Consider the following 14,260-nt stretch of genomic DNA (forward strand, 5'->3'; position numbering starts at 1 on the left):
TTGCTCTACCTTAATAGTGAATGGTTGAGATTCCCCAAAGATGAAAGGAACTATTATATGTCAAATCATTTATTTGACATTCTGTTTAAGGAGCAGCTCTGTATCAATACCTGTTTTTCATTGACTTAATGATACCCTCTTCTTCTGTGTTGCTCCTTTTCTGCTTCCTCTTTTTTCTTTTCACCTTTTTCTTATCTCGTAATTTGGTATTCATTCCCATCATTTTCTGGACACTTTTTTCTCAAATATCCTGTCAAGTTCAAGGGAGTATTTGCTGAAGTCATTTTGTATGTTTTCACTGAGGGTGATCATCACTATATGTCACCCCTCCATTTTCAAACATTTTTGCCTAGGTTTTTGTAATATCACTATATATCGTCCCTTCATCTTCAAACATTTTTTCCGTAGATTTTTGTAACAATTACTCTCATTTTTCTAAAGCCATTTTCTTGACTTTCTTCTGTTTTCCTTCTTTATCTCCCCTGTGGGCTCCCACCACCCCAATCACTATAGGTATTTCATTAAGGTTTAGTGTTGGTATCTCAGCTCACCCTACTCATTTTCTTTACTCATCTTGTAAACCCATAAAGCATGAACAATAAATTGTTCTAAAAATATTTTCTCATTTTACACTTTTTTTCTAGAACTTTAGATGTATAATCTACAGTTGCCTTCTAGAGCAAACTTTATTTTTCCCAAGACTTAATCTCTCTCTCTGGGTTTTCCCCCATCTCCATTACAACGAGGGCAGAGCTCTTTCTTGTACATTTGCTCATCATTGTATTCCTAGTACTTAGTGTATTGCACCAAGCAAATTCTCAATAAATATTTAAATAAATGGCCTTCTAGGAACAAAGGTTTCGAATCTTATAATCATGTTCTGCTTCTCTGGTATAATCATTCGTAAGTCGTTGAATCAGTTTTCTTGTTTTGTAGTCATTGCCTACAGTCAGTTCCTCATTACTTCTTTCTTGGAATTTTGCAGTAGTTTTCTAACTTGTTTTAATTTCTCCTGTGTCTAGCTCTACTTTTTGCTGTAACCATAATTTCTTCGAATAGTTCTGGTCGTTCATTCATTCATTATTTCCTGAGTGCCTACTACTGATAGTAGCTATTTGCGATAGATGCTAGCAGATAGATGCTAGCATAAATGTTATATGCTACTTTTCTTAAGGAGCTTACAGTCTAGTGGGAGAGACAAAGATAGAAATAAGTACAATAGATACAATGTGATAATTGCTAATTGTAGTAGGTTCAAAGTGTGACTAGCTGTAGGGGAGGAGCCTAGCTCTGCCTGGTTGAGGTCAGAAAAAGTTAAAATGAGACTTTAAGGTCTATAGAGTTTGCTTAGTAGACAAGGGCCAGTATGTTTTACTCATAGGAAAAACAACCTGTGTATATTCACAGAGGTGTTTCAAACCTCTCCTTACAATGCTGTTCATAAGACTGAAGTGCAAATTGAGTAACCTCCCTCTTTGTTGTCTCTTTATTTTTTCCGTCTTAGCTCCCTTTACTTCCTTCCACCTTTTCCTTCAGTCATACTTCTGGTCCAGTAACTGAAATTTGCTCTCTGAGATTTATTCAGAATGTTTTTTTCTGTCTTTTTATTCTGTGTATTATTACCACTTTACCCCTGTCCACTTACAAAAGTGGTTTTTCTTTCAGTCTTATTTTTTCCAAGCTTGTTGTTTATTTCTGTTAGGATAATTTCAGAATCAACTGTGATTCACTTATTTAGGGGAATGTCTGTTTCTCTTCATGGATTTTGAGACCCATTTTACGTGTTTTGCTCTGTAGTTTCTGCTGTTGTGTTCTGCATATGAGGTGCTTGATAAATTTTTGGTTACATGGATGAGTATATTTTACAAGGTCACTCTGTCTACATTGTATAGCTGTGGTCTGTGGCCATATTCATGTATTTGTTTTTATGAATCATGAACAGCTTTTGTCTCTGAAATAAGGCAGAGAGACTTTCTTCCACTCCAGACTCAGTGGAAGAGAAGCTTATCACATTTATCAATCCATTTATCAATCTTTCCCTGGAGTGCTTTGTCCTAGGCATTGGCTGAGTATCTTCTTTGGTTGAAGGAATGTAACTATGAACTTGGTTCTTGCTAGTGTTTTTCCTAACCTGAAGTCATGCAGCTATTCTCTTTTATCATATTCTAAAAGCTTTTAACACTTTGCCTTTATATTTAAGTTGTTACTGTACCTCGAATTCATTTTGTATATGGTGTGAAATATAGGTACAGTGTCCTTTTTAAAAAACTTAGATATGAAAGTGTCTTCAGAACTTTTTATTGTATTCTCTCTGCTCTTTCCTGTTATCGCTACCACTTTTTTTCATATACAGTTGCGTACCACACAACTTTTCTGTCAGTGATGGACTGCATATATGATGGTGGTTCCATAAGCTTATAATACTGTATTTGTACTGTATCTTTTCTATGTTTAGATACATTTAGATACACAGATACTTACCATTGTGTTACGGTTGTGTACAGTATTCAGTACAGTAACATACTGTACAGGTTTGTAGCCTAGAAGCAATAGGCTATACCATATAGCCTAGGTATGTAGTAGTCTGTTCCATTTAGGTTTGTGTAAGTACACTGTATGATGTTTGCACAACAATAAAATTCCCCAACAACGTATTTATTAGAATGTATCCCATCATTAAGTGATGTATGACTATGCACAGGAGGAACACAGATTTTTGGATGTTAATCTTGTATCCTGGAACGTCGATGAACTAGTAGTTTATTTTTTGTAGATTCCTTTGGCATCTTCTGTGTAGATAATCATGTTGTCTGGATGTAGGGACAGTTTCTTTTCCAATATGTATGCTTTTTATTTTCTGTTTCTTTGTGTGCTGCCTAGGGCTTCTAGCATTATATTGAATAAAAGTGCTGGGAGTAGACATCATTTCTTTGTTTCTGATCTTAAAGGGGAAGCATTTAGTCTTTTACCATTAAGTATTTGTGTTACCTGTTGTTACCTGTTGGTGACTTATGCTTGTTATGGATGTCCCTGACTTATGGTGGTTCAACTTAGGACAATTTTTTGACTTTATGATGGTGTGAAGGCAATACACATTTGGTATGTTTCTTGACATATGATAGAAATGCACTTTTGGCTTAACTATATTTTAAATTTACAATGGGTTTATTGGGACGTAACCTTATTGTAAGTTGAGGAACATCTCTATATTGATGTTTTTTACTTTTCATCCTTGCTAAACTCAGTCTTAATAATTCACATGTTTTATCTGTAAATCCTTTTGAAGTTTTTATGTATGTAAACATATCATCTGTGAATAACGACTGGTTCATTTTAAATCCTTATACCCTTTATTTCTTTTTCTTTCCCTCCTTTGTTGATTAGCATCTTTATTGCAGTGTCAAATTAAAAAAAAAGTGATGATAGTAGGTATGTTCCTGTAGTTCCTGAACACAAAGCTTTTAATGGATTGTCAGTAAACATTATTTATGCTGTAGGGTGTTTATAGCATCCTACTTATCTCAGATAAAGGAAACTTTCACCCAATTCTTAGTTTACTAAACTTGTTTCTTGTTTCGTTTTTGTTTTACAGTCATGAGTTGTTGAATTTACCAAATTTTTCTTAATTTATTGAGATTTGAAAAAATCTGTTTAGTATATAATTTAAATATGATTTTCTTTTTAAGCCTGTTGATGTGATGAATTTAACCTTGCCTTCCCGGGATAAACACTTATGAATATATTGCTGCATTTGGTTTCCTAATATTTTGTTTAGGAGTTTTGCATTTATGATTAAGATTTGTCTGTGATTTATTTTCTCTGATTGTTCTTTTCTTTTTTCTTTTCCTTTTTCAGATACAGACTCTCACTGTGTTGCCTAGGCTGGAGTGCAGTGGCACAATCATAGCTCACTGCATCCTTGAACTCCTGGCCTCAAGTGATCTTGTCACCTCAACTTGGCTAATTTTTTATTCATTTTAATTTTTTTGTAGGGGCAAGATCTCGCTTTGTTGCCCTGGCTGGTCTTGAACTCCTGGCTTTAAGCAGTCTTACTGCCTCAGCCTTCCAAAGTGCTGGGATCACAGACAGGAGCCATTGTGCCTGGCCTCTGATAGTTCTCATTGGGTTTTGTTGTCAGAGTTATGCTAATTAGTTGCTTAAAACTAGTTGGGAAGGATTCCCTTGTTTTTCATTTCTTGGAACTATTTGTATGACATGGGAAATATTTCTTCCTTTATTTGACAGGACTCACTAGTAAAGCCATCTAGACTTGGATATTTTTCCTTGTGGAAAGATCTGTTAATGATTGATTTTGTTTCTTAATCATTTTTTTCTTTCTTGAGTTAGTTTTGGTAATAAGATGTAGTTTCTCAGCTTTATCTACATTTTCAAATGTTATATTATCAAATTTATAAGATTGACCTGTGATTTTTGACTTTGTTGATCCTACGCTTGTTTTCTTTTGATTCATTGATTATTAAGAAGTGCTTTAAAAAATGTAAATGTCTGGAGCTTTTCTTGTTATCTGTTTTGTTAAGCTTTTTGTTGAAGTATAACATACATTCAGGAAAGTGTAAAACTTATGTCTTTAGCTCTATATGACTTCACACAAAGTGAAAATACTTGTGTAACTAGCATCTTAGAAGTATCTTTTCACCCCTTTTTCCGTTAACATTTGTCTCCCAAAACATCACTGTCCTGACTTTTACTGTCATAGATTAGGTTTCTCTGTTTTCGAGCTTATAAATGTAATCATACTCTTATGTAGTGTTTTGTGTCTGGCTTCTTTCACTTTGATGTGTGTGTGTGGGTGTGTGGGTGTGTGGTGTGTGGTGTGTGGTGTGTGTTGAGACAAGGTCCACTCTGTCATTCAGGCTTGAGTGCAGTGGTGTGATCATGGCTTGCTGTGGCTTTGACTTCCTGGGCTTAAGCAGGACTTCCACCTCAGCTTCCCGGGTAGCTGGGACCACAGGTGCACACCACTATGCTTGGCTAATTTATTTTTATTTTTTGTAGAGATGAGGTCTCACTGTATTGCCCAGGCTGGTCTTGAACTCCTGGGCTCAAGTGATCCACCTGCCTTAGCCTTCCCAGATGCTGGGATTACAGATGTGAACCATCATGCCCATCCAGATGTTTGTAATGTTAATCCATATTATTGTGTGAGGCAATGATTTATTCTCTCATGGCTGTGTTTTTTTTTTTTTTTTTTTTTTTGCCCCCATTGTATGACTATACTACAAATTGCTATTCATTCTAGTGTTGATGGTCATTTGTGTTTTCTGTTTTGGCAACTGAATGGTATTGCTGTGAACATTTTTTTATATGTCTTACGGTGGACAAACTATACGTTTCTATTGAGTAAATACCACAGAGTGAATCTGGGGCCTATTTATCTTTTTTTTTTTTAACTTGATATTTAGCTTAACGGGTTTTAGTGTTTGCATGACATAATTTTCCATCCTTTTACTTTCAGCATGTATCCACTTTTTTCATTGTCTTTTAAGGTGTTTATGTTGAAATTTAAAAATCTTTTCTTTTAACCTGATTGTGTATATTACATACACATATAGTACTTAGTATGTGCTAAGCAATGTTGTAGGTACTTTATATATAAATACTTACACCTCTTAGTTTTCATTTGGCTAATTTGCCCTTATTTTACTCTGCACTTAAAAATTATACTCCTTGGTTGTAAACTTCTAGATTTGCAGTTATATTCTTTCTCTGCTTTGAAGATAACATTTTGCTGTCTTCTGGCTTATGTTGTTGCTGTTGAGAAGTCACCTGTTAGTTTAAATGCTATTCCTTTCAAGGTACTGTGTGTGCTCTAAATTTTGTTTGTTTTCTGGAATTATTATTATTTTAAATTTAACCCTGTTTGGCTTACTGAATTTGTAGGTTGGTATTTTATGATATTCTCTGTAGGTATTTGGCCTCTGCTTCAATCTAGTCCTTCTGGTACTCTCATGAATCCCATGAGTGAATCTCTCATTCTTCTCTCTCTATAACTTCCATGAATTGTAGGCTACATTTAGGCCTTTCTATCCTTATGTATTTCAGGTGTATGTTTCACTGTGTTGCACTCCGGATAATTTCTTATGACCTTTCTTTCACTTCATTCTTTCTTTTTTGAGACAGGTGGAATGCAGTGGCGCAATCTCAGCTCACTGCAACCTCTACCTCCTGGGTTCAAGCAGCTCCCCTACTGCAGCCTCCCGAGTATCTGGGACTACAGGGGTGTGCCACCACACCTGGCTGATTTTTGTATTTTTTGTAGAGATGGGATTTTGGTATGTTGCCCAGGCTGTTCTTAAACTTTGGAGCTCAAAGTTTAAGCTCAAAAGGCCTGCCTTGGCCTCCCAAATGTGCTGGGATTACAGGCGTGAGCAATCCCACCTGGCCTTTAATGGTTTTTCGTATCTGCGAATACATTGACCTGTTGAATTTTCAATTTCAGTAATTGTATTTTTTCATTTTTAGAAGTTCTATTTAAAAAAAATCTTCTAGTTTAGTCTTTATAATTTTTTTTGTTTCCTGTAGATATTTTTGGAATTGTCTTTTATTTCTTTAAGATTATAGTAGTTTTACAGTCTTTGATAGACACAAAAATTGTGTCTGTTTTTGTTGTGTGGTATTTCTGCTGGTTCTCCCTCATAGTTGCTTGGTTATTTTTGACTTGATACTTGCTCATTGTTCTAGAAACATCATAGTGGGGATTCTTTGATACTTAGGATGAAGGCACCCTTCTCTAGGCAGGACTTGGATTTACTTATGTTAGGTGCTTGGGGCTGTTATTAACCAGGGGTCTGTGAGTTCATGTTTTGAGATTCTCTGGGCCACTTAGGTCATGTCAGCCCCAGCAAGTGTGCAGGCCCATGGCCAAAACTAATTACCTGTTCCTTCCCTGTATTCATGTTGCCTTTCTCTGTTTAGCACCAAGGCAGCCTTCTCAGCGGTTCCCTCTAGGGGGTGGGGCTGGGGAAAAGAGGTGTTCATTTCTAGTTTACCCTCTCCTTTGCAGGTATATCTTCTTTGGGTAGGGTGGTGGCCTACATTAATGTCAGGAGAGTTTCCTATTTGACTGTCTGCCTTGATATGTTCAGATTTACTTCTGTTCCCCTTGCCCTATAAGACCATCAAAACTGAATCCCACATTTGTCAGAAATGAAAAATGCTTTCAGAGTATAAGTAGCTATAATGTCCCAGTGTTCCCACTTACTTCCCTGGATTCCTATTTTCTCTTAGGTTTTAGTTTGAGTACTTTGTGGTGCTTTTAAAAAGTATTTATTTTTTATTTTTCTCTAGCTTACTATTATTATTATTATTTTTAGTTGGAGGGTTAGGACAAATAACAAAGCTTGCCACTGAGGAAATGAAAGTAAAAATAAGTTTTGTTTTTCTAAAAATAATTTGGGGAAATGTTCAATAGAGTGATTTTCATTAAATGGTAAAGTAAATTACTATAAATTAGGAGGTAGTTACAAATTTTGGTTGGTGGGGAAGGTTACCATTTATGTTTGTTAAGAATGTTTATATCTATTTTTTGGTTTGCATCTAATAGTTTTCTTGTTTCAGGGGTAGAAATATTTCTGTCATGGCTCATTCAAAGACTAGGACCAATGATGGAAAAATTACATATCCGCCTGGGGTCAAGGAAATATCAGATAAAATATCTAAAGAGGAGATGGTGAGACGATTAAAGGTGAGTAAAATTCTATTCTTTTTTACATCTGTGTAGGGCAGAGGTCCCCTGTGGAAATCACATGGGGCTATAATGTATCTTGTTGGGGTAACTTAAAAAAGCAAAGCAAAGCAGCAAATGGCATAGAAAAGATCTAAGGGAGTAGAGTATATAAGGTACAGTGGGGATTATTTGGCTATGATTAAAGGGACAGCAATTAGGTGAAGCTTAGATTTTCTAGGATCTCCTATACTTGGGTATAAAGAACAAGTCTACAATACTCATATTCCTTATTGTCTATACAAAGTTGTCTCCTTTCTTCTATATAGTTTCTAAAGACAACCACTTTAAGGGAGTTTTAGGTCTTTATACTGAGTAATTAGGCTGTGTACTACTTTCTTGTAAGTTATTTTCAAAGTAGGTCAAAGGGCTTCACTTTAAGCTTCTTCCTCTGCTTCTGACATGTAGTAATGAATCAAGATTGCTGGTGAACTTCTATGGATGAGGCTAGGGCCTCTTCATATGTGTTTGAATAATATTTTCACCTTTTCCTTTAGGGTGGTGGTGATCTCTGTAATTGTTAAAATGGATAAAGAAGCATAGTGTTCAAGGAGAATGTTAAGCTGGTCTATTAGTTAGTTTAGATGGTCTTTATTTTTGAGCATTTCCGATCGAGGTTGTATCTACCTAGATATTTATGTTGCTTGATATATTATTATTTATCTGGATGTCAGGGCTGAAAAATGTTCCCAAATTAATCATTGAAGATCCAGGGGCTTAAAAACAAATACTCTTCTTTATTGCTACATGGTGTATAGAATTTTTATAAAGAGAAAAAGATGCTAATACTATCATAAATTTCACATAAAGTCTTAATATTGTACATGTATGTGTTTATACTTAAAGTATCAGAATGTCAGATATCAGATGTTTATTCAAAGGAAAATCATCTTTGAGCAGATTAAATTTACTAATAGGTGGATATTTTATCTAGTTGGGAACTGGTGTGTATTTTATTAAGAATAGTCAAGCTATGAATCCCTTCTATATATGACATGTTTCATTTTCTATGTATTTACCTTCTCTTGACCTATTGCATTTTTAGAGAAACTAATACATTTATTACCTTATATTTGTTTATACTAAGTGAGCATTCCTGTTGTTTGTTGAGAAACTAATCTTGAACTCAGAGCCTACACTTAAAACTGATCAGCATTAGTGTCTTTTAGAGATGTTATTTTCTCAGATTTCTTTCCTAATTTGGAGGACTCATGAGTTATTAATGAGTTTTATAACAGCATTTGAGTTGTAGACAGTAGTGAGGAATTCCCATTTTCTGGACCTTGAACAAACTTTGTGGTTATTGTTGGTGGAATGATTGCCTCAGTACTCATATTTAATGTTTGTAATATGCTTTCATTATTTTGTAGACATTTATGTCTAGCAGTAATCCAGTTATACTTTTTTCTCATTTATTTTCCTAATTTATAGTTCCATTTTTAGCATCCTCCTTCTTAGAAAAATATGAAAAAATTATGTAGGATGATATGTACAAATACCCATGTAAGTTTTATACATTATAACAATTTGTTAACGTGTAAGGTGATACTGTTTATAAAATTTTTTTTCCTGTAACATTTTATTCAAAATATGCTTAATCTCTTATCTTTTGTTAAGAGAGCTACAGAAATAAATAGTTACATGCATGCAGTTCTTTTTTACCCTTTGTGGTTTTTCCTAAACATATAGGCAATCAAAGCATAAATCTTAAAAGTAATAAAATAAAAAAGCTAAAAGACCCAGACATCATACCCTTAATCTAAATGTAGTGCCAGGTTGCAAGGATTAGTCTACTGTTGGTTCTGGTATCTGGCATAATAGAACTGAGAGGCTGCTCTGTGAGGAGCAGTGTTTTCCACAGCTGCTCTGAGAATTCAGTAGAAATCGAGCCATTTGTTACTCAGAAGTCTAGCTGGATGGCAAGTGGAAATCGTTGCAGCATAAAGGACCAAGACATTTAACATTGATACTTTGTGGCCAGCCCCACTTGTTGCCTAGTATTTGCAGCACCACCTAGTGGATGCTGGATGGTCACCTTTCCATTGGAGTTGTATTTAAATGTCAGTTCCTGTCAAGTTAGGCAATTTTGTTTCATTTAAAGTAGGAATAGTGCAGACTGAGATCATCATTGTAATTACTAATATTGAAATCAGAGAAAGCTCTTCTGAGAATTCATGGTATACCATTCTATTTTCTATTCACCTTTTATAGAAATATTTTTGAAAAAAGAACCATTTCTTTTAGCTTCCTTTGTCTTAACTCACATGTGCAACTGAATTAATGAATTATCCACATCATATTCTCTTTTACTGCCACACAAGAAATATTTTGTTGGATGCCGTGGTAGATACTTCATAGTAGCTTTTCAGTGTTGAGGGATGCATCTTTGACATCCTTTCTTAAATAAAACCATGTGACTGGAGTGGTTTAATGACTTAAATGGAAAATTAAATTGTCATCTTAGGGTTTTCTTTAGGCATATACTTTTTCTTCTCATGAAAGGATTAGAAATATTATTTTTAAAAAAGATGGTATTCTTAAGGACATACTCCTTTTAGTCCAGTTGTACAAGTGAGACCAGAAGTTTCCACAAATATTCTATTGGAATTCTTCCAATAATGACTACTACATAAGGGCAATTTAATCTTTAAAAATCTGGTTAGCAGATATTTTGGGTAAATGAAAAAATATTTTAGTAAGTCTTTTAAATAGAAGTTTACTTTGTAGTTTTAGGAGAATTGTGTTCTCTCAAATAGAGACTTTCTGCAGAAAAATGAAAGTATATTCATTTGAAGTTAACCTTAGCAATTAACATGACCTTTATTTCACATGACTGTAGTTTTACATGGAGCATTTCATTATTTGATTTTTTATTTTTGTATAGATGGTTGTGAAAACTTTTATGGATATGGACCAGGACTCTGAAGAAGAAAAGGAGCTTTATTTAAACCTAGCTTTACATCTTGCTTCAGATTTTTTTCTCAAGCATCCTGATAAAGATGTTCGCTTACTGGTAGCCTGCTGCCTTGCTGATATTTTCAGGATTTATGCTCCTGAAGCTCCTTACACATCCCCTGATAAACTAAAGGCAAGTACTGATTTAAATAACTCCAAGATTGACCGATACTTTGATTTATCTTTCTAACTAAAATGGGAGTTAAGGTATTTAGATGATTTCCTTGGATTCTTTGACATTAGCTACAGTAATCTTTTGCTAAACTTAATGTTTTTTTTTTTTTTTAGAACTTATTTTTGAAAAACTTTCTGGTCTTGAGGTTAAGAAGTAGATTAATACAGTGTGTATTTTTTTTATATCATGTCATCATTAGCTCTGTTTCTTTCATTATAATTTTGGGGGCAATTCCTTTTCACTTTTGAAAATCCATATTGAAGACCATGGCCATTATTTAAAACATAATACCTAGTATAAACATGAGTTTATAATATATAATCCTCATTTATTTAATGGAAGGTGTGATATAAATTGTTATATTTGTGTTATAAATTGTGTTATACATTGTTATGAAGAAAATACAGGCCAGGCGCAGTGGCTCAGGCCTGTAATCCCAGCACTGTGGGAGGCCGAGGCAGGATGATTACTTGAGTTCATGAGTTTGAGGACAGCTTGGGCAACATAGCAAGGCGTTGTCTCTACTTTAAAAAAAAAAAAAAAAAAAAAAAGGAAATTAGCCTTGTGTGGTACTGTGCACCTGTAATCCCATAACTACTTGGGAAGCTGAGGTGGGAGGAGTGCTTGAACCCCCGGGGGGCGGAGGTTGCAGTGAGCCAAAATGGCACCACTGCATTCCAGCCTGGGCTGAGTGAGACCATCTCTATTAAAAAAAAAAAAAAAGATTCAGTGAACAAAATTTTAATGGAAAGGTACAAAAGACATGTGGTACTTGGTTACAGTAATTGTAAGTAAAACTATATAAATGCAAAATCTTTAAAAGATGAGAAGGGGAATAGCACGAGTAATCTTTTTAGGAAAATGCTGGTAGAAAGCATGAAGTAATTAGAGTTGTGCAAAAGATACTGAATGTTTATAAGGCAGATCAGGTAGGAATTAAAAACAGCAACAATAAAAGATAATTGTGGAGTCTGGGTGCGGTGGCTCACACCTGTGCACTTTGGGAGGCTGAGGTGGGCCGATCACCTGAGGTCAGGAGTTCGAAACCAGCCTGGCCAACATGGTGAAACTTCATCTCTACTCAAAATACAAAAATTAGCCGGCTGTGTTGGCACATGACTGTAACCCCAGCTACTGTGGAGGCTGAGACAGGAGAATCACTTGAACCTGGGAGGTGGGGGATGGAGTGAGATTGCGCCGCTGCACTCCAGCCTGGCCAACACAGCGAGAGTCTCAGAAAACAAAACAAAAAAAAGATAATTGTGGAAACTATGGGTTAGAGAATGAGTCCATAGAAAGATTATTAATCCACAGTGTGAAAAAATGGCAGGCAATTTATATTTATTTCACTTAATAAGTCTTGCTGTTACTTATGTGTCAGGAACTGGATTTACAGTGGTGAAAAAAACCCAGGCATGGTTCTTGGACTCATGGAGTTCTTGATAACTGAAGTGAGGAATGTGCTTATTTGATCAAGTCTACCACAATTCAAGTAGAGGATGTGCAACCTGTTTTGGGCATGCTTGTTTTAAATTTTGATTGGTGAAAGAATCTTAGGATGAGGGAGGTAGAGGGCAATATTTGTCATTTAAAGGTGGTATTGAATTGTAAGATTTGAGAATGGTCGGAGACTTAAAGTAGATAACATGAGCTGGTCCATGTAGTTGTATACCCAGGTACTAGCTTGATTTCTAAATGTGAATTTCTCATTTGGAGATACTTAATTGGTTTAAGGAATGATTCCATTTGTTTGATAGTGGCTGTGGCTCTCCCGTACTAGATGTCTTGTTGGCATTCTCATGACGAGGAAGTCTAACTTAAGACTGCTACTGTACAATTTATTTATCTCTCTTGGGGATCTTTCAGTTTGCATAATCAAGGACCTATTTCAGGGCTTTGGGGGTAACGAGAAATTCTCCCTAAAGAATAGCTACATATCTGTTCTGTTTCTAACAGGACAATTTATGAGAAGACTGTAAAAGAGCTGAAATTAGGGTCTTTGTGCATTATTCCCTAGCTGAAAAATGTTAAGTATTTGGTTTTTCTGATGAATTTTTGAGTCTTATTCTAAATGCCTCTTTTTTCTTTTTGGGGGATAGTACTTAAAATTACTGACTTTGAGGGTGCTTTCTAAATATTTAAGAGATTTCACTTCGTCTTGATTAGCGGCAAATTCGTATATCTGTATGTCTATATATTTTGTCTACAGTAGTGTTGTATACAGATTAGAAAATTGTGATATTTGAGCCTTACCTTTCCACTTTCAGTTAGTTATTGTCATCAGCAAACCCCTTTTATACAGTTGGCTTCATGTTTAGGCAGTAATTGGTGAGGTTATAAGTGACTGTTGTCTTTCCATCGCTACATAGGGTCAATATGGCGTGTGTACTCTTTCAGCAATCCAGGAAGGGTTCATTCATAGAGAACATATTTTCCACAGTACTACTATCAAAGTAACTTTTTTTGTTTTAAGTAACCTTTTTTTTTAAAAAATTGTGTTTTAGGTGCAGGGGTACATTTGCAGGTTTGTTATGTAGGTAAATTACATGTCATGAGGGTTTGGTGTACAGATTATTTTGTCACCCAGGTAAAAGCATGGTTCCCAATAGGTAGTTTTCCGATCCTCACCCTCCTCCCACCCTCCACCGTCAAGAAGATGCTGGTGTCTGTTCTCTTCTTTGTGTTCATATGTACTCAATGTTTAGCTCCTGGTGATAAGTGAGAACATGTGGTATTTGGTTTTCTCTTCCTGCATTTGTTTGCTTAGGATAATGGCTTCCAGTGGCATCCATGTTGCTGCACAGGACATAATCTCATTTTTTATGGCTGTGTAATAGTCCATGGTGTATATGAAATATTTTCTTTATCCATTTTACTGTTGAATGGCATTTAGGTTGATTCCATGTCTTTGCTATTGTGAATAGTGCTGCTACGAACATATGCATACATGCGTCTTTATGGTAGAATGATTTATATTCCTTTGGTTATATACCCAATAATGGGATTGCTGGGTCAAATGGTAGTCCTGTTTTCAGTTCTTTGAGAAATTGCCAAACTGTTTTCCACAATGGCTGAACTAATTTATATTCCCACCAGTGATGTATCAGCACTTCCTTTTCTCTGCAACCTTGCCAGCATCTGTCATTTTTTTTTTGACTTTTTAACAATAGCCATTCTGACTGGTACGAGATGATATCTTGTTGTGGTTTTGATTTGCATTTCTCTAATCAGTGATGTTGAGCATTTTTTCATATGCATGTTGGCCATACGTACATCTTCTTTTGAAAAGTATCTCTTCATGTTCTTTGCCATATATATATATATATTTTTTTTTTTTTTTTTTTTTTTAGATGGAGTTTCACACCGTTGCTCAGGCTGGAGTGCAG

The 14,260-nt window shown here is 35.3% G+C and overlaps 1 protein-coding gene across 8 annotated transcripts in view, besides 2 other annotated features; it reads left to right on the plus strand.

Moving 5' to 3' along the window:
- PDS5B (PDS5 cohesin associated factor B) overlaps positions 1 to 14,260 on the plus strand; it is a 191,568-nt gene that overhangs the window by 54,724 nt on the left and 122,584 nt on the right. For all 8 annotated transcript variants that reach the window (XM_005266298.5, NM_015032.4, XM_017020452.3 and 5 more), the window contains exons 2-3: positions 7,579 to 7,705; positions 10,629 to 10,832. In XM_005266298.5, coding sequence (XP_005266355.1) covers positions 7,598 to 7,705; positions 10,629 to 10,832 — 312 coding nt within the window. In that variant the 5' untranslated portion in view covers positions 7,579 to 7,597. The remainder of the gene's footprint in view (positions 1 to 7,578; positions 7,706 to 10,628; positions 10,833 to 14,260) is intronic.
- Positions 4,996 to 5,105: an enhancer, noted in NCBI's record as "active region_7564". NCBI's record gives its function as "activates an Ori minimal core promoter by ATAC-STARR-seq in GM12878 lymphoblastoid cells {active_cell/tissue: GM12878}" and the evidence as "EXISTENCE:reporter gene assay evidence [ECO:0000049][PMID:35858748]".
- Positions 9,727 to 9,816: a silencer, noted in NCBI's record as "silent region_5252". NCBI's record gives its function as "represses an Ori minimal core promoter by ATAC-STARR-seq in GM12878 lymphoblastoid cells {active_cell/tissue: GM12878}" and the evidence as "EXISTENCE:reporter gene assay evidence [ECO:0000049][PMID:35858748]".

The sequence above is a fragment of the Homo sapiens genome, chromosome 13, assembly GCF_000001405.40.
Source record: "Homo sapiens chromosome 13, GRCh38.p14 Primary Assembly".
Taxonomy (NCBI): Eukaryota; Metazoa; Chordata; class Mammalia; order Primates; family Hominidae; genus Homo; species Homo sapiens.